This window comes from Homo sapiens, chromosome 1 (assembly GCF_000001405.40).
Source record: "Homo sapiens chromosome 1, GRCh38.p14 Primary Assembly".
NCBI classification, from domain to species: Eukaryota; Metazoa; Chordata; class Mammalia; order Primates; family Hominidae; genus Homo; species Homo sapiens.
Window position 1 is genome coordinate 207,352,153 of NC_000001.11, and position 20,399 is coordinate 207,372,551.

General features: G+C 36.7%; 1 protein-coding gene across 5 annotated transcripts in view; it reads left to right on the forward strand.

The window, feature by feature from the left end:
• CD55 (CD55 molecule (Cromer blood group)) overlaps window positions 1–8,814 on the forward strand; it is a 39,289-nt gene extending 30,475 nt beyond the window's left edge. For 4 of the 5 annotated variants that reach the window (NR_125349.2, NM_001114752.3, NM_001300903.2 and 1 more), the window contains one exon: window positions 7,394–8,814. Coding sequence is in view for 4 of the 5 variants with exons in the window: in NM_001114752.3 (NP_001108224.1) it covers window positions 7,394–7,517 (124 nt within the window). In the remaining variant the exon portion in view is untranslated. Of the gene's footprint in view, window positions 1–1,854; window positions 1,948–7,393 lie in introns of all 5 variants that reach the window. The other variant, NM_001300904.2, reaches the window with a different exon arrangement.

Consider the following 20,399-nt stretch of genomic DNA (forward strand, 5'->3'; position numbering starts at 1 on the left):
ACTTTCTAATTTGCCTTGTAAATGAAGCATGTGTTGTGAATTTTAAATCTTTTCTTCCGTTGGCTTTGTATAAGTGTTTCCCAATTTTTTTTTGTGGGGGGTGGGGGGTGCGTTAATTCTTGCTCTCTTCTCACCAAAGACCTTTTTAGACATTTTTTTTTGATCATCCTCCACCACACATATACTGTAAATCAGTTTATGTATCACATATATATCTGCACTCTGTACTTAAAAAAGGAAAATTTTTTTTTAACTTTCATCAGGTATCACCCCCATTGAGAATGCTTGCTTTCTGTTGGTTTTGTTTTTATTGTTTTTAAAGACAAAATCATATAGAAGAAAGAGCTTAACCTCTGGAGTCAAACCAGTCGGATGTTGGTTTGAATCCTGTTTTTTTCACTTAGTAATTATTCAACCCAAGTGATTAAGTGATTAACTTAATCTCTCTGAGACTCAGTTTTCTCATTTAAGAGATAGAGATTGTGATTCCTATGTGAAGTATTTGAAGCTTAATGTGATTAGTGGGTATGAAAACTCCAAGCACAGTCCTAAAAGTTGAATAAATATTAGCTTAAGGAAGTCACTGCATGCAATCACTATTATTTTCCTAAGCTGGATTTCTGATAATTTCATCACTCCCTCTGGCCACACCAAAGAATAAGAACAGTCTTTTATTCAGGTAATATTTACATGTTTTCTCTGTGGCAAGTACTGTACTGATTTTTTTTAATGTATTATTTCATATTCTTCTCACAACAATCTTATAATGTAGCATTTTTATCCCATTTTCAGCTAAGATAACTGTGGTTTTGCAAAATTTGTAACTTGCCTTTCACAGAGCTAGTAGGCAATAAATAGAGGCCGATGACTAGTTTCTCTATTACCAGGTTTTTTTTTTTTTTTTTTTTTTTTTGGATGGGGGACAGGGTCTCACTCTGTCACCCAGGCTGGTGTGCAGTGGTGCAATCTCGGCTCACGGCAACCTCTGTTTCCCAGGCTCAAGTGATCTTCCCAGGTACTTTAAAAGATAGAAAGATGCTCATCCTAGTGACAGACCAAGAGACAATACAACCCAAATTGGACAATTAAGGTGCCGTGATTCCCTACAAGTATTGCTTTATTCCCCTCTGTTGCCAAAGTCCTATACTGAGACATTCATAAGTCCCTCATGGGGACTAATAGATCAATTTAAAGAATAATAAATAAGAAGTCAGGAAATATTCAGTGAAATATAGAAAATATTTTTTCTGTATCCCCTAACAATTGTGTACTTATTTATCCTTTAAACTTGAATATGGCATATATTACAGACTAGCCCAAATCTAAATGTACTTTCAAGAGTCTTGACTCTTAAGTAGCTATTTGAAGTTAATAAGATGTGGTTACAGGGGTCTTTATGTCTTATTACATGCCCCTATACATGACAAACTTAAGTCCCATTATAAAGTGACATCAGTTATCTGCCTGTTATTCAGGTTTAAGTCAGATAATATAATCATATAATCTTTCTGTGATACGTTTAGTCTGGAAAAGGAAGTATGTGAATTTCCCTTATTAAAAAAATTGAAGAAATACAGAGGTACAGAAAATCCAACGATGATGGCAAGACACTTAAAGGGTCCTGTGGATGTCTCTCTGAGGAAGCAGAGTTGAATCTGCATTTACAAAATGGAAAATTTAAGGGTTACTCAAGCATACTGTTTTTCAAATCATCTACGAAAATCTCTTCCCAGGGTGCCTTCACTTGTCCACAGGCCCTTTATTCTGTTACATTAAGTATGATATAAGCAAGAACAAAACCTTTCCATAACTTTTTGTTTTCATAGCACATGCATTGCATTTCCACTTTGTTAGCTCTGCAAGTTAGACCTTTTGAAGTGTCTGGGTCATCCCACATTTCTTCAAAAAAGATGATGTGCATCCTCTAGGTCACTCCAGTTCTTGGAGGTAGGTAGATAGAATTCTAAGTTGGGTTCTTTGGCAGTGAAGATGATACCCTATATATTAATGTAGTATCTGTCTAATGTAAATTTTGTTTGATGAATATCAGGTATTTTATTGAAAATATTTCAAACAGTTAAAATTATGGCCTGAATCTGGGGCTAGAAGTGAGTTTTTCTATGGCAATAAACTGACTTACCCTTTCTTGGTCTCAGTTTTCTTATCTGGAAACAAGATATTAAGTGCAATTTAATAAATATTTGTTAAACACTTTCTACTGTTTGCCATGTACTGTGTTAATAATGAGAGGTGATCAAATGAGATAATAGGTGGCAAACTGCTTTGCAATGTTTTCAACACTGCAATACAGTTCTACATGATGGGGAACCTTACTAAAATACTCCTTTTGTGGGGGAGAAAACCTTTTTCTAACATTATGTTATTTTCCCACCTAAGAGCTCTTCAGTTTAATCTTAGGAACATTGGAATCATAATTATTATTTCATTCATTATTTCATACTTTCATTTTTCCCAAGTTGTATAAATCTTAATGTTGATTCACCTTTGGTTTTCTGTAGATACCAAGTGAATTTTGAGATCATAAACAGTTGCCTTTGAACCTGAAAGTTTTGTTTCTAATTTGGGAGATAATATGCTCTTATTAATTTACTGAGAAGATACGTAGAATTTTGTTTTTCATATTTCTGTGTTTTGCCTTGGTTTTCTGTTAAACCATCAGCCTCTACACTTTCTTCTAGAACTATGTATATGTGTTGAGCATTGTTCTGGGAATAGCCTTTTACTTCTGTCATCTGGATGTTCTAGATCACTCTGAATTTTCTGTCTTGATTTAGTATTCAAATAAAAAATAAGATATTGAAAGTGGTGGAATTAGTGGGAACTGGTGACAGAAAGGGGGAAACCCAAAATTTTTTAGGAGCTGTGATTTATTTCATGGATAGTCTCTCTAAGTTAATGATACAATTCTAGGGGATCAGTTAAATAAACTTCTAAAGTAAAATACTGTAAAAACTTACCTGTGGTAGAAATAGCTGTTTTTTAAATCACAATTTTCACATGGCAGTGCAATTGTACAGTGTCTCTATTTTGCTGATTTGGAGCCAAATACACTCATTAGTCACGTTAGATTCAGTTACTATTCTAGTGTCATCTGTCATTTCCTTTGTAGTAAAGACCAATAGAGTTGAGTCCAAGGACACTGGGCAGGGTTGGTGGGGGTGGTGGTGGGAGGGGGGCTGTTGGTGAGGAAAGAGAGAATGAGGATGGTGAGAGAAAAGGGCAAATGGGTGCATTTGAGAAGAAAGATTGTGTAAGCTATAAAAATGATTTGATGTTGATCAACTTATTTGACCAATTATTTGCTGTTGTTCAGCTCAAAATAGTGCTTTGAATCTTAAAAGTGAATATAATTTTTGAAATGAAATTTAATCTACCATAGACTGAACACTAAAAAGCATATTCTGTAGGCAAAGTAAATATAGTTTGCCCTCCAATCTCAGATGATAATAGTACAGGCATATTTCCTGTGATGGAGAAATGTCTACATATCTGTTATATCTACTGTAAACTAGGTAAATGTCCTTCCCATTAACCACATATGTTAATGTTCAACTTCCTTCTGAGACTCAATTTACTCATCTAAAAAATGAAAGTGAACTCTAAGATGCTTTCTAGCTCTAAAATAACATAATTCTGTCACCATATTTGAATGCTCAACGATCAAAACATTTAAAATCGAGCATGATTGGGTTGAAACACTTAAGAAGCCTCTCAAACCTGTCAAAAAATTTTATTTGAGCATTGTGATATTCTAAATATATTTCTTCCTTTTTCTTTCGAAGAAAACAGGACAAATAAAACATGCATTTGTCAAAAATTTGTGACATAAGGAAGCCATATACAAAATGCAATTAATATCTCCTATTTGTAACTCACTTCATAACCAGTATGTATGTCATTGTGAAACTATAATGTAATTTTAATTGCTCATGTTTCTATTAACTGTGTTACCATATCTTTTCCCCTTCAAGGATTTCTTGCTGGTACTCTATTAATTGGTACCCTAATTCTAGTCATTGGACTATGGAAAATCAGAGTGAGCAGAAATTCTGATGATTTTTAAAAATTTATTCCTAGTTTATTTCCAGTAAAATTTGGTACTGTATCAGTAGATGACTCTCTTAGCTTTATTTAAATTTTGGCGTGTCTCTGTATTCATTTTTGTCTGTAATTACTATCCTGGATTAACAGACTTCATGTCTGTTTTTTCTCAATATATTCAAAGGCGCATTTCAAAGCAAAGTGACTTGAAGTCTCATTTTGTGATCTATTAATCCACTGATTTTTTTCCACTCAGTGTAATTTATGATAGTATCTAGTGTTGCACAGAAGCAAAGAAATCTAGGAAAAATCAACCTCTAACATACTGTGAAATTGCCTGTGATTAGGGCTTTTTCTCACTTATATTAATAGATGCCAGTCCAGCTCAAAACAGCACAGTGGTTAAGGCAGCAGACAAATGGGGGAAATATAGTACCTACCTCATATGATTATAATCATATATCAAATGAGTTGCCACCTGTCAAGTGCTTAGAACATTGCTTGGCACATAGTAAGCACTCAGATATTAAAACAACAACAGCACACACACACATCAGTATTATTTAAAATATCTAATCTGCATTGAATATACATAATGTTAAGTATAAATGTCACGATTGGCTCTGATGTGTCCTGTAGACAGATGATGATTTAAATCGACCCTCTTCTGTTTTGTAGTTTTAACTGTTCAGAAAACTAGTTGTGGAATTTATACAAACTTGAGTTATTTCTAAGCTGCCCTAATGCCTGTCCGTTTTTCCCATTAATAAGAAAACTATTAATTTAATGCTGTTATTAAATTGTCTGTTTTAATTCTTTAGATGATGTGACCTATCTCCTTTTTACCCTCTACAATTTTTCTACTTAAATTAAGAATATTACTTAAGCCTATTATAAGTTAAAGCATGTAAATATTCTTTAACTCACTAAATGAGTCAGTCTTGTAGAAAAATATTTGACCATTAGGTCCAGGGGAGTGATTAATAATTTTTACAGGCATTTGTTTAATATCAACAAAATATTCTAGCTGTCATGATAGCAAATATAGTAAGACATAACTTTTTCTCCAGATATATCAGAAACGTTTTAGGAATGTGATTTAGAGCCTAGCAAAAACTCACAGTTAGTACTAAGTCATCTAAAGTGAGTTGGTATGGAAGCATCAGCAAAGCTACTCTGAAAAAAAATAAAACCACCAATCTTACGTACTTTCTTGTACTTGTTCCAACTTTCCTTTTGAAATACTGTTATCAGTTTATCAAGTTATAAAGTATCAATGTATAGAGTATTATCAATTTACCAAAGCTACTGCTTTGAGACTCCCTGGATCGGTGGGAATGGAGACTGGGCGGGGGAGGGCGGAGGGCGGGCGGGGGCAGGGCAGCAAGATGTGATAAGTTTACCAGGTGCTGTCTCTTGGCTTTCATCAGTTTCTTTACATACTTTGGTAAGGTGATTGGCTGTGATACTTGTATGTCCTATTAAGGACATAAAGTACTGGAACATCGAAGGAGGGAATACAGTAATTTCTGCTTATCCTCGGTTGGGGGGCAGGGTGTTTCAAGAACCCCCAGTGAATGCTTGAAACAACAGATAGTGCCTAACCCTATATATGCTGTGTTTTTTCCTGTATGTACATACCTATGAGATAAAGTTTAATTTATAAATGAGGCACAGTAAGAGATTAACACCAACGAATAATCAATTAGAACAATTTATTGTAGCAAAAGTTATGTGAATGGGGTCTCTCTCTCTCTCAAAATATCTTATTGTATTGTACTCACCTATTTTCAGATTGCAGTTGACTGTGGGTAACTGAAACCACAGATAAGCAGACTAATGTATTTGTTTTGAATTGTATTTTGGGGTTTTGCAGTGAACTTAATTGCTTATTTTCTGAATTAGAGGGAAAGTCATGCAAACTCCTAAGAAAGAATTTGTCTTTTTTATGTGCACATAAAAAACACTCCACTTGCTTTATTTTGGAAACATAAGCTGTTGAGGGTAAGAGCTAGCTTTATATATGTTTGGCTAGCCTCCTGATTTCATACTGATTTAATTAAATATTTGATCTTAATTAAGACAGGATATAGTTAATGTGCAAGTGATAATGTGGTTTCATTTAATGATTCTTCATGTTTGCCTATCAGAGGATTGATTTATTTCTTTTAGAAGAGTTAGGTCTGTATGATAAATTTTAGTTTAGGGATGGAAGTGTAAGCAGATGCCTGACTTCGTTTTTTGATTGAAATGACAGTTACATAATTCAATTCAATAGTTTTTTTCTTCTCTACTATTCAGCTCTTATAATGCACATGAGAGCAACAAAGTACTCAATGTTGTGTTTGACCATTTAAGTGTGACTGGTGGTACCTCAGAAATAAGACTTTCTGGTAAATTATAAAAGGTATATATGGTTTAATAAAATTACATTTCTGTATCTTGCAAAATATCCATTAATACCCTTGGCTAGGGGGTTCTTCATGACTTTTAAAGGATAATAGAGGCTTAAGTCTCTGTCACTAGAGTTGTTTTTTTCTTTGTTGAATGACTAATACATTGAATCTCTCATTACTATGACATATCGTCAGTTCTGGACTTGGTAGCAGTAATGCTTATCATCTCATCCTACATTTTGAACTCAGTTTATTGTAACGATTAGATGCTATAATGCCACAAATATTCGGGGGGAAAGGGATGATACATTAGGACTTTTAAAGAGAATGCCTTCATTATGATAATTTGCATCATGAGATGGTTGACCTACCTTGTATTTCTCCTTTTGCTTGGTGGCTTTTAGAGTTTTCAATGTTTAAGAAAAATTATAATATGTGCTAAGATATCCTTTTATAGGTCATGTTTATAGATCTTAAAAGACATCTCATATCTTTATACAAAATTATCACACAAAAATAACTTGGTGTAAATGTATCTGTAAAACTTTCTGAGTGTCTTCATCTCTTAATCTTCTCTTCCACATGTAGTAGTATTCAGGGGTTTTTATTTATTTTTATATTTTTTTAACATCTCCCACACTTAGGAATTCATTGACTTTTAATCTGAAGGTACCTTAATTCATTCTAGCTTAGCCACTGTTCAACTCGAGAAACTAAAAACTCCACGTCACATTTTAGTTGTTGCTGTAGCTGATAAACCCCACCTGTAGAATCTTGTCCATATTCTATTACTCATTATTTTTTTTGTTTTGCACCCCAAATTAACTGATTCTTTTTGGTGATTTATCACATAGTAACTAAAAATTTATATTTATCACTAGTAAATAAAATCATTTTGATTTTAACTTTTTTTTTTTTTTTTTTTTAATTTTCAGGGCACACGTGTTTCACGTTGACAGGTTTGCTTGGGACGCTAGTAACCATGGGCTTGCTGACTTAGCCAAAGAAGAGTTAAGAAGAAAATACACACAAGTATACAGACTGTTCCTAGTTTCTTAGACTTATCTGCATATTGGATAAAATAAATGCAATTGTGCTCTTCATTTAGGATGCTTTCATTGTCTTTAAGATGTGTTAGGAATGTCAACAGAGCAAGGAGAAAAAAGGCAGTCCTGGAATCACATTCTTAGCACACCTACACCTCTTGAAAATAGAACAACTTGCAGAATTGAGAGTGATTCCTTTCCTAAAAGTGTAAGAAAGCATAGAGATTTGTTCGTATTTAGAATGGGATCACGAGGAAAAGAGAAGGAAAGTGATTTTTTTCCACAAGATCTGTAATGTTATTTCCACTTATAAAGGAAATAAAAAATGAAAAACATTATTTGGATATCAAAAGCAAATAAAAACCCAATTCAGTCTCTTCTAAGCAAAATTGCTAAAGAGAGATGAACCACATTATAAAGTAATCTTTGGCTGTAAGGCATTTTCATCTTTCCTTCGGGTTGGCAAAATATTTTAAAGGTAAAACATGCTGGTGAACCAGGGGTGTTGATGGTGATAAGGGAGGAATATAGAATGAAAGACTGAATCTTCCTTTGTTGCACAAATAGAGTTTGGAAAAAGCCTGTGAAAGGTGTCTTCTTTGACTTAATGTCTTTAAAAGTATCCAGAGATACTACAATATTAACATAAGAAAAGATTATATATTATTTCTGAATCGAGATGTCCATAGTCAAATTTGTAAATCTTATTCTTTTGTAATATTTATTTATATTTATTTATGACAGTGAACATTCTGATTTTACATGTAAAACAAGAAAAGTTGAAGAAGATATGTGAAGAAAAATGTATTTTTCCTAAATAGAAATAAATGATCCCATTTTTTGGTATCATGTAGTATGTGAAATTTATTCTTAAACGTGACTACTTTATTTCTAAATAAGAAATTCCCTACCTGCTTCCTACAAGCAGTTCAGAATGCCATGCCTTGGTTGTCCTAGTGTGAATAATTTTCAGCTACTTTAAAATTATATTGTACTTTCTCAAGCATGTCATATCCTTTCCTATTAGAGTATCTATATTACTTGTTACTGATTTACCTGAAGGCAATCTGATTAATTTCTAGGTTTTTACCATATTCTTGTCATCTTGCCAATTACATTTTAAGTGTTAGACTAGACTAAGATGTACTAGTTGTATAGAATATAACTAGATTTATTATGGCAATGTTTATTTTGTCATTTTGCTTCATCTGTTTTGTTGTTGAAGTACTTTAAATTTCATACGTTCATGGCATTTCACTGTAAAGACTTTAATGTGTATTTCTTAAAATAAAACTTTTTTTCCTCCTTAACCACAGTTATCACAACTAGCAGTTGTGATAGTTTCTAATTTCCTAATAGTTTCTAATATTAGGAAATTCTTTGAACTTTCCTAGAAGTTCTAAGAGTAGGCACATATCCATCCACCTATTCATTCATTCATTTGTTAAATATGAGGGCCCGCTCTGCCTATTCTGTAATAACCCAGTGCTTCCAGGGATAGCAATAACACTGGCTCAGCTATTCAGAAAAAAAGCTGAGTGCCTACTATGTGCAAGTTGTCATATGCTAAAATGTGAGCTTACCAAGATAACTGCAAGTGTCTGCCCTCAAGTTGCTTATAGTTTGCCACAGGAAGACCAAAATATATACTTATTGAGAGAAAGAAGATAAAGTTACGAGTGTTACAGCCCCGAATATGGTGGGTGCTTAAGCTGTTTGTTAAGCAGTTGAGTGGCAGGGAGGGAGATATTCAAGGCAGAAAGCTGATTGAGAAAGCAGTAATAGATGAGATTATAGTGGCAGGATGGTCGAAGTAGGAAAGGCTTAGAGCAAGGGCTAGACTATGTCATGTGTTCTGTGTAGAAGTGAAAATTTGTAAGCTCTAGACTTTTTATTCTGCTCGATCTAATTAGAATCAGTGAGCATAAAATAGGTTTCTAATAGCAAGAACTTGCTATTTAGATAAGGGTAAAAGCGGAAATACTATTAAACAGTCATTTACCTTGAAGAAAATATAAACAGTAGGCTTGTGAGGGTAAAGATATTTTCTTGTAGGATTTATATTTACCGTGTATCCTGTAGTTATGAGGTTGAGTGGTTTTATTTTTGCTTAAGATAACCTCTCCTGTGAGATTTTACTTTGATTGCAAAGGTTGTATTGCTTTTCCTCTTGAGACTGATGTATTTGTTACAGCAAGTTATACCTGCTCACTGTAGAAATTTGAGTTTTATAATATTTAGCCCCCTATCACTGTCACTTTTCTGGGAATACTTGAACATGAATAATTTTTGTCTTGTCACACCCTAGCCCTGTTTGCTTTGGTTAATGTCCAATGTGCAAATGCCTCATTTTCCTCCCACCCATCCTGAGTGTTTTCTTCCTCCTTACCGAAACTAAAAACAGCCCCTTCCCTGAAGGTACTGCTTCCTTTGCAGCCTATTCCAGTGGTGGCTGGTTTATTTTCATCCATATGACTCATTGTTAAGAGGTGGCGGAGGTGTTTTCCTTGTTCCTTTGTCATGTCTTCCATCTCAACCCCCACACACATCTCTTTAAAAAGAGTAACTGTCCATTCACTCTGGTAGGGTAATTTACTAAAATGTCAAATGTTTTTCCTATAATTCTCCTTGGTGAAAAGCATGGATTCTGGAGACAAATCGGAGCCCTGGCATTTATCAGCTGCAGGACTCAAGGGATGTTCCTTGTCAGTGTACCTTAGTTATCTATGTGTAAAGTGGGCCTAAAATCAGTACCAGCCTCATAGGATTTGCAATGAGAATTAAGTTAATACACGTAGAGCTTAAAATAGTGCCAGCCATGTAGTAAGTGCTCAGTAAGTTTTAGCTCTTTTTAGTGCACAGGTGGAGAGATTGCCTTAGGTGGAAGCATGCAGGGCTTCAGTACATACTAGGAGGGAACTGTTGCAGGTGGGTTGGAGATGCCCATGGTGGCAGCTTTTGGAAATTGATTTCACATTTCTTCTGTTTTCTCAGGGACATATACATCAAGGTCATCATAAAAATGATGACACATGAGGAGGTGTTATGTTTGAAGACAGGCAGAGAAGGAAAGGACTAGAGACATTTAGTCAATTAGCAGGCAATGCTAAAGACCCAGTTGAGGTGAGTGCTCATGAATTTAGAGTGCAATCATCAAGCTTCGTTCTGAGTTTTTCTGCAGTCATATTTAGCTTTCTAGATACAGTCTCAGAAAAAACCAGTTGCTTGGATTTAATCATGATTGGGTGTTCCCAGGTGAATTTGATGACGTGAGTTGAGCATGTGCACAAGGGAGTGATTAAAATGATGGACCATAGAATTTAAGCTATGTGAGAAGGGAAGTGAAGACATATGAGTGGTAAGAAACAATGAGTAACAGGATCAATATTTTGTAGACCTTAATGGGGTCATGTCATTGTTAGACTTGGGGTACTATTTAGGATGAACTAGAATGGTAATATGCAGTAGTGAGAAATAAGAATGCGTCAATTGAGGGTAAAACAGAATTGGCAACCAGAGGACAAAGCTGTCTACAAATACACTTCCCCTTCATTTTGGGCACAAAGTTAGACACATTTCCTGGCACTCTTGCAGTTAAGTGTAGACATAGGACTGAGTTCTGGCCAAAGGAACGTGATCAGAGATGTGTAGCATTTCTGGGTCTGGCCCTAAAACATCCCCATATGTGATCCTCCTTGCCTCCTTCCCTACACTGAGTTGATGAAAGTGACTGTAGTAACCTAGTAAGTCATGTGCTAAAGATAACAGAACCACAGAAAGGAAGGAGCTTGAGTCATTGCTTTGAGGAGAGCTGTCTGCTGATCAAGAACACCCACTTTAGATTTCATGTGAAGAAGAAATAAACTTCTGTAATGTTTGAGTTCTAACATTTTGGGGATTGGTGTGTTACGTTATTGTGGTTGACATTATCTAAACTAACACTGAAGCCTTCTAGATTTTGGTGATACAAGGGTTTAAACAGAACTATGGTTGTGAGAAGTTGAGATAAAATGGTGGACAAAAGTATTGGTGCGGAGGAGGCCATGGAACATCTTAATTGATACTGAAATCACCAAGAAGCATGGGGATTCATGTTAGAGAGTGATACTGAGTCAGGGGCTAAAATCTTCACGAAATGAGTGGTTTGTACATCTGAAGATGATTGCAAACAAGAAGATAGCAGGTGCTATATTCTGATGATACGTGACTCGAAGGAAAGGGTTTTGTGGAAAGGAAGGAGGACTGGTCTGCAAATAGCAATGATGAATAAAATAGGGCACCAACTTCACCTCTATGCCTGGTACTATGTGGAATGAAAGTGCAATGAGATATTTTTGCCTATCAGAGATTTGTTTGCACATTCAAACCCACTGTATGATCCTCTTCCACCCCTTGTTATTGCAATCCCCCTACTTTCTGGTCACCCACCCCTGTCTGTTGAGGGATTTGGAACTGGCTCACTGTCTCCCAACCATCCTACAATCTGGTATTATCCATAATTATTTCACATTGACAAGGATGACTCCTTATAACATCTGTGCCTCTGGTTTTATTGACCTTTTGATTTCTAATGACCTCCTTCACTCTACCTGAGTCACTCATCTCCATGGAACCTTCTTAAATCACTAATTCAGGCATATTTTCTTGCTCAATATAATCTTTTCCGCTTTCTAGTTTAGTTACTGCAGTATGTTCATCAACTCTCCACTTTCTTCCTATTTATAAGTCTCCTACTGTGATGGATATTTTCTGTTTGTTCATCCAGGACCACTCTCTAGCACACTCCAACTTGCTGTGACCTCAGAGGCTGACCTATAATGGAAGCTGTGGAGGGGAGAGCTGCATTCCTTCTAATTTTTGTTTTGTCTCAAAACACTCCACAACTTCTTATTTTATTTCACTTTTTTTTTCTACCATCCTATCACCAAAGGATGGCTCCCCTTCCTTTTGACCTTTTCCTCTTTTAGGAACTACACCTTTCAAAGGCTATCAACTCAGATCACATTATGTTTATGGCCCTTTCCTGAAGGTAGTGCTTGTAGTTAGTGCTCTGGTCTACAAGGACACCTTTTCAGCATTTTCATTTTTACGGCAGACTCTTACTTTCTGGCAATGGTTTTGGAGCAATTTGAGGACTTTGCTAGCTCAGCTTTTTTCACTTTCATTGAAGTCTTTCCACAGACTGCCCTTGCTCACCACAGAGGCTTCTAGGAGCAGTGTGAAGGACTCCTGGGTTGTTTTTGTTTTGTTTGTTTTCTTATAGGCAATTTGAAGTAGGTGCTTTGTCTTCTAGTTATGTTGAGAATGTGGTTTTCATGTGACCAGACTTCCTATTGGTGTGGCTGTGGAAAATCAGATGTTTTTATATATTATTGGTGGGAATGCAAACTGATACGGCCATTTTATAGGGGAATTTTCCAATATCTAAAAAAAACCCCACACATACGCATTTACCCTTTGATCCACCAGTCTCACATCTAGAAATGAACTCTGAAGATATACCTCCAATAATATGAAAATATACAGTACAAGGATATTCACCAAAACATTGTTTGTCATTGCAAAAGACTGGAAACCACCTAAATGCTCATATGTAGGACTTGCTCAATAAGCTATGTTATATCCAAACAGTGGAGCATTATGCAGCTCTGAAAAAAGAATGAGGAATATCTGTATGAACTATTATGAAGTATTTCTAGGATATATTATTAAGTGAAAAAAGTAAATACAAAAGACTGGTATGCTACTTTTCATGTGAAAAAGAAGAAATAAAAAATACACATCCTCGTTTGTACAAAAAGAAACATAGGAAGGATAAACTAGAAACAATGAGATAGTTATATACAAGGTATAGGTGGAAATGATGGAGAAGATGGGAATTCCTTCTAATTTTTGTTTTGTCTCAAAAATTTTAGAATAATTGTCTCACATATTAAAAAGCCAAGTAAATATAAGCAATGAAAATAGGGAGAGAGGGGAGAGAAAAAAACTCAACAGAATACAAACACAACAAATGAACCTTTATATATATATATATATATTTTTTTTTTTTTTTTTGAGATGGAGTCTCACTCTGTCGTCCAGGCTGGAGTGCAGTGGTGCAACCCCCATCTCGGCTCACTGCAACCCCCATCTCCCAGGCTCAAGCAAGTCTTCTGCCTCATCCTCCCAAGTAGCTGGGATTACAGGCATGTGCCACCATGCCCAGGTAATTTTTATATTTTTAGTAGAGATGGGGTTTCGCCATGTTGGCCAGGCTGGTCTTGAACTCCTGACCTCAAGTGTTCGGCCTCTCAAAGTGTTGGGTTTACAGGCGTGAGCCACCACACCCCACCCCTTACTGTATTTCAAATGAATAACGACCACAGTTAAGAGGGAGCTGTGAGGTAGAATTGAATTAACCTCGGAACACAGTATTTTGATTATACAAACAAAGGGCTAAAGACAAGAATATGAACAAATGTTGGATTTTGTCTAGTGGGTTTGTTTTTCATAGTAGTATGGGTTAGCAGTTTCAACACTGCATTCTAAGATGGGGTAGGTAAGCAAATATATTGCAAATAATGAGTCAGGATTCTCACTGTTGAAGGGAATTACAAATAAGGGAACACTAGCATGGAGCCTGTGGTATTTGTAATTTGAGTTATCAGTATAAACTCATGATTTGGAACATAACTGATACACAGAGAAACGTGTATACACACACATGCATGTGCATATCTGTATTAGGTTCTCCAGAGAAACAGAATCATTAAGATATATATAGATATATGAAAAGATTTACTGTGGGAATTTGCTCATGCAATTATAGAAACCTAGAAGTCCCATAATATGCCATCTTCAAGCTGGAATCCCAGGAAAGCAGGTGGTGTAATTCTGAGATTGAAGTCTTGAGAACCGGGGGAGTCAATGGTGTAACTCCCAATCTAGGGCTTAAGGCCCAAGGACCAGGGCTGCTGGTGTGCAGATGCAAATCCTGGAGTTCAAAGGATTGAGAACCAGGAGCTCTGGTGTCTGAGGGCAGTAGAAGATGGATGTTCCAGCTCAAGAAGGGAAAGTAAGAATCCGTCCTTCCTCCACTTTTTTGTTCTATTCAGATGAGCCCTCAATGGACTGAACGATGCTCACCCACACTGTGAGGGCTGGTCTTCTTTATTCAATCCACTGACTTAAGTGCTGATCTCTTCTGGAAACACCTTCACAGACACACCCAGAAATAATGTTCTACCAGCCATGGGCCTGTTACTTAGCCCAGTCAAGTTGACACAGAAAATTAGCTATCACAACATCTGTGTGTGTATATACATATGTATTTGCATGTGTGTGTATATATGTGTATATATATTCATGTGTGTGTATATGTGTGTATGTTGTGACTGGGTGTATACACATCCATATACATAAAATATTTCAATATATTATATTTTGTATATATGTTATATATGTTATATATTATATAGTAATATAAAATATATTTAAGACATTTTTATAATCTATATTGTTATACATTATGTAAATATATGTATATATAAATTATATACTTATAAATGTTATATGTTATGTATATTATATATGCTATATGTATTATATGTTATGTCATATATAATTTATTGAATATATTTATAGTATATGAAACATATATAGTCTGTCTTCTTGGAAAAGCATACAAACAATGAGACTCCAGATCCAGATTTCTTTTTTTTTTTGAGACAGAGTCTTACTCTGTCACCCAGGCAGGAGTGTGGTGGTGTGATCTTCGCTCACTGCAACCTCTGCCTCCTGAGTTCAAGCAATTCTCCTGCCTCAGCCTTCGGAGTAGCTGGGATTACAGGCAAGCACCACTACGCCTGGCTAATTTTTGTATTCAGATCCAGATTTCTAAATGTCTTTCTCCAGTTAAAAAAAAAATAGGGCTCCTGGGAGAAATGGCTGATTTCTGGGCTAGGGTAGGGAAAGTAAAAGATGAACCTGGAAATATCTTGTGGTATCACAAATTAAGTGTTCTGAAAATAAGTGCTGAAAAAATTATTGTGACATGTCAAATGGATTCAGAAGCCAACATGAACAAGCTCCCACTGACCAAATCTGAAACAATTACAGCAAATAAATAAATAAATAACGATGGCAATGGATCATAGCACATAGAATAAAATAAGAATTTGAGTCCATACTGATATAATTGAATAATAAAGAGAAGAAAGACACCTTCTTTATAGCAAGATTCCAATTACCTACATGTAGTAAAAATGATGCAATTAGAAAGTCAGCATTTGGCAACCATCACAGTAATAATTATTTCAGGCAAGAATCAATGAATGCTAAATCAGTAAAAGTCTGATGAGAAATAATTATATACTCTTCAATTTTTTCTCCACAAAATACTTAATTGCAAATAATAACTTTGCGGAAGAAAAACCTGACAGACACTATTTTAGCCAAGTGATCAAAACTAACATCACTGATATTGGGACAAATAACACCTAGTTCCTCCTGATAGGATACATTGAAAAGAACTCTGTCATTTCTGTGTGATTGTTGCCAAAAATCATAATCTGAATCAAAATATGAGGAAGTATCCGAAAAAAGACAACTTGACCGTCATCCTACAAAATACCTCTTCCAGAGTGGAAAGGTAGTGAAAATCAAGTAGAAGAAGGGAAATAGAAATTTAAAAAATTAAGAAATGAAATAATAAAGGTAAGTGTAAAAATTAAAATAGAAAACAAAAATAATAGTGAAAATGAAATCAAAAGCTGGGTCTTTAAAAAAAATAAAATTGATAAACTTCCATTTAGATGGGTAAAGAATAAAGAGATAAGACAGAAATTGCCACCCATGAACTTTTAGTAATGCAACAGAATACATCACTCACTGCAGAGCATAATCATTGGAAGAAAAATATGAGAATATGGCAGGCAACTTTATGCCAATAAATTCAATAAACTGGGGATCACGATTATGATCAACATTCACTTTTGAAAGGGCCATGGAGGAAAATGAACCAGGAAGATCCTCCCTGGGGCAGAGCTACCACTGGATGAAATGAACAATTCATTGAAAGACACAAATTACCAAAACTAACCCAATAAGCAATATAAAACTTGAATTGCCCTATTAATTCAAGAAATTGCATTTTTAATTAAAAATCTTTCCAAAAAGAAAAATTCATGCCTAAATGGCTTCACTTGTAAACTCTAGCATTTAAGGAAGAAATAAAACCAATTGTACACAAACTCTTTGAGAAAATAGAAAATACTTCCAAACTCATTTCATGAGGCCAAATATATTAAAAAACTACAGACAAATATCCCTCATGAATATAGACACAAATATACTTAACAAAATTTTAACAAAACAAATTAGTATATGTAAAAGAATACTTACTATACATCATGATGGAATGAGGTTTATCTGGGGAGTGAAAGGTTGGTTTGACATCCAAAAATTAATCAATGTAATTCACCATATTAGAATAAAGAAGAAAATATAATCATTTCAATAAATGCAGGAAAAGCTTTTTGTAAAGTTCAACACTAATTTGTGATTTCAAAAAATCTATCAGCAAACTAAGAATAAAAGAAACATTTCTCTTAATCTAATTAAGGGCATCTTCAAAAACCTACATCTTTCACTGTACTCAATATTGAAAGCCTCAATGCTTTCTACCTAAGATAAGGAACAAGGCAGGGATATCTATTCTGCCATTTCTGTTCAACATTATACTGGAAGTTTTAGCCAGTGCAGTAAGGCAAGAAAAAGAAATGACAGTCAATAAATTGGAAAGGGAGAAGAAAGTCGTTTTTATTGGTAGATGACATGACCAAGTATTAATACATAGAAAGCTTAAAGAGTCTACTAGAACTAATAAGTGAATTTATTGAGGTCAGAATACAATGTTAATGTATAAAAATTATAATTTTATGTATTAGCAATGAACAATTAGAAAATGAATTTCGAAAACAACTTCATTTCCAACAGCATCCAAAAACATGTTAGAGATAAATTTTACAAAACATGGAAGATAGTTTCTTTTCCTGTGCAGAAGCGCTTTAGTTTAATTAGATCCCATTTTTCATAAAAAAAGAATGAGATCATGTCCTTTGCAGGGACATGAATGAAGCTGGAAGCCAACATTCTCAGCAAACTAACACAGGAACGGAAAACCAAACACCACATGTTTTCACTCATAAGTGGGAGTTCAACAATGAGAACAGATGGACACAGGGAGGGGAACATCACACACCAGGGCCTGTCAGGGAGTGGGGGGCAAGGAGAAGGAGAGCATTAGGACAAATACCTAATACATGCGGGGCTTAAAACCTAGATGACAGGTTGATGGCTGCAGCAAACCACCATGGCACATATATGCCTATGTAACAAACCTGCATGTTCTGCACATGTATCCCAGAACTTAAAGTAACATTTTTTAAAAACGGAAGAATTCTATTTAAAAAAAAAAAACTATAAATTTTGCTGAGAGAAATTACAGACTTAAGTAAATGTTATTAACATCATTTTCGTGGGTTGGAACACTCAATATTGTTAAGATAGCAATTCTCCACACATCAATTTATAACTCCAATAGATATTTTTAAAAAGTGATTCCAAATTTATATTAAAATGAATTGCCTCTCTTAAACCTCCCTTATAATTTTTTTAAAAGATTTCAGAAGACTAAACACTATATTACACAGACTCCATTGAAGCTAGGAGTCTAGGAGAAAATTTGATCTACAACGTAACAAGCAGTTATGTGATATTTATTTGGAGGTCAGAATTAAGGTGTAGGTCAACTTCCTACTGCTGCTTCTATTTCCAGCAAGATAAGATCAGCCACAGGTGATTGTGGTGGTCTTTTTCTACTTTCATTTATCTAGTCATCAACTTTATGGGAATAAAAATCTGCGGTAGTGTGTCTGGAATTGCTGGGTTCTTGGTCTCGCTGACTTCAAGAATGAAGCCGCAGACCCTCACGGTGAGTGTTACAGTTCTTAAAGATGATGTGTCTGGAGTTTCTTCTTACTGGTGGGTTTGTGGTCTCGCTGACTTCAGGATTGAAGCTGCAGACCTTCACAGTGAGTGTTACAGCTCTTAAAGGCGGCGCGTCTGGAGTTGTTTGTTCCCTTCAGTGGGTTCGTGGTCTCGCTGGCCTCAGGAATGAAGCTGCAGACCTTCGTGGTGAGTGTTACAGCTCATAAGGGTGGTGCGGACCCAAAGGGTGAGCAGCAGCAAGATTTATTGTGAAGAGCAAAAGAACAAAGCTACCACACAGTGGAAAAGGACCCAACTGGGTTGCCGCTGCTGGCGGGGGCAGCCTGCTTTTATTCCCTTATCTGGCCCCACCCACATCCTGGCGATTGGTCCATTGTACAGAGAGATGATTGTTCCATTTTACAGAGAGCTGATTGGCCCATTTTACGGAGAGCTGATTGTTCTGTTTTGACAGGGTGCTGATTGGTGCGTTTAGAAACCTGGAGCTAGACAGAGTACTGATTGGTGCATTTACAATCCTTTAGCTAGACACAAAAGTTCTCCAAGTCCCCACTAGAATAGGTAGACACAGAGCACTGATTGGTGTCTTTACACACCTTGAGCTAGACACAGAACGCTGATTGGTGCATTTACAAACCTTTAGCTAGACATTAAAATTCTCCAAATCCCCACCTGACTCAGGAGACCAGCTGGCTTCTCCTAGTGGATCCTGCCCTGGGCAGAGCTGCCCGCCAGTCGCACGCTGCGGCGTGGGCACTCCTCAGCCCTTGGGCAGTCGATGGGACCAGGCGTGGCAGAGCAGGGGGCAGCACCCATCTGGGAGGCTCAGGCCACGCAGGAGCCCACCGGTAGGGGGGCTCAGGCATGGTGGGCTGCAGGTCCCGAGCCCTGCCCCGCAGGGAGGTGGCTGAGGCCTGGGAGAATTTGAGCGCGGCACGGGCGGGCCGGCAGTGCTGAGGGACCTGGCGCACCCTCCACAGCTGCTGGCCCGGGTGCTAAGCCCCTCACTGCCCGGGGCTGGCAGCACCAGCCGGCTGCTCTGAGTGTGGGGCCCGCTGTGCCTTACCCACCCAGAACTGGCGCTGGTCTGCGAGCGCGGCATGCAGCCCCGGTTCCTGCCTGCGCCTCTCCCTCCACACCTCCCGGCAAGCAGAGGGAGCCGGCTCCGGCCCGGCCAGCCCAGAGAGGGGCTCCCACAGTGCAGCGGCGGGCTGAAGGGCTCCTCAAGCATGGCCAGAGCGGACACGGAGGCCGAGGAGGCGCCGAGAGTGAACGAGGGCTGCTAGCACGTTGTCACCTCTCAGTAGGAGAGCGATTGTAGCAGCAGCAGATTCCTGAACTCCATGATTTCGATGGTGTGATCCTGAAGTCAGTTGTTCAGAGGCAGTTCTCTAACATTTCCAGCTTTCTTTCAAAGAAACTAAGAGGGATTTTTGTTTTCTTCACTGAAATTTGGCTAATCCAATATTCCACAACTCTTAACTATTTTTATTTCAGTTTCCTTCCCCTTAGCTAATCAATTAAGTTAATCCACTAAGTTCATCAGTGCCTTCCAGTCCACTGATTCTCTCTCAACATTCACTTTTGAAAGGGCCATGGAGGAAAATGAACCAGGAAGATCCTCCCTGGGGCAGAGCTACCACACTAGAGGCACACAGTATTGAGTATAATGAGACTTACAGAGAAGAATATAGCAATCTGGGGAAGCAGACCACACTTACTGAAAGTAGCACTGCAGAAGTAGTGTTTATTAATTTAGATTGTAATTTGAAATTGCCACATTATTCATTTCTAAGATTTCAAATTGCTTTATATCTGACAGTTTGTACTTCAGACCTGCCTATTTTTGTTTTACAGGTCCTATTTAGTTACTAATGGATATTGATCCTTTATTTCTCAGATT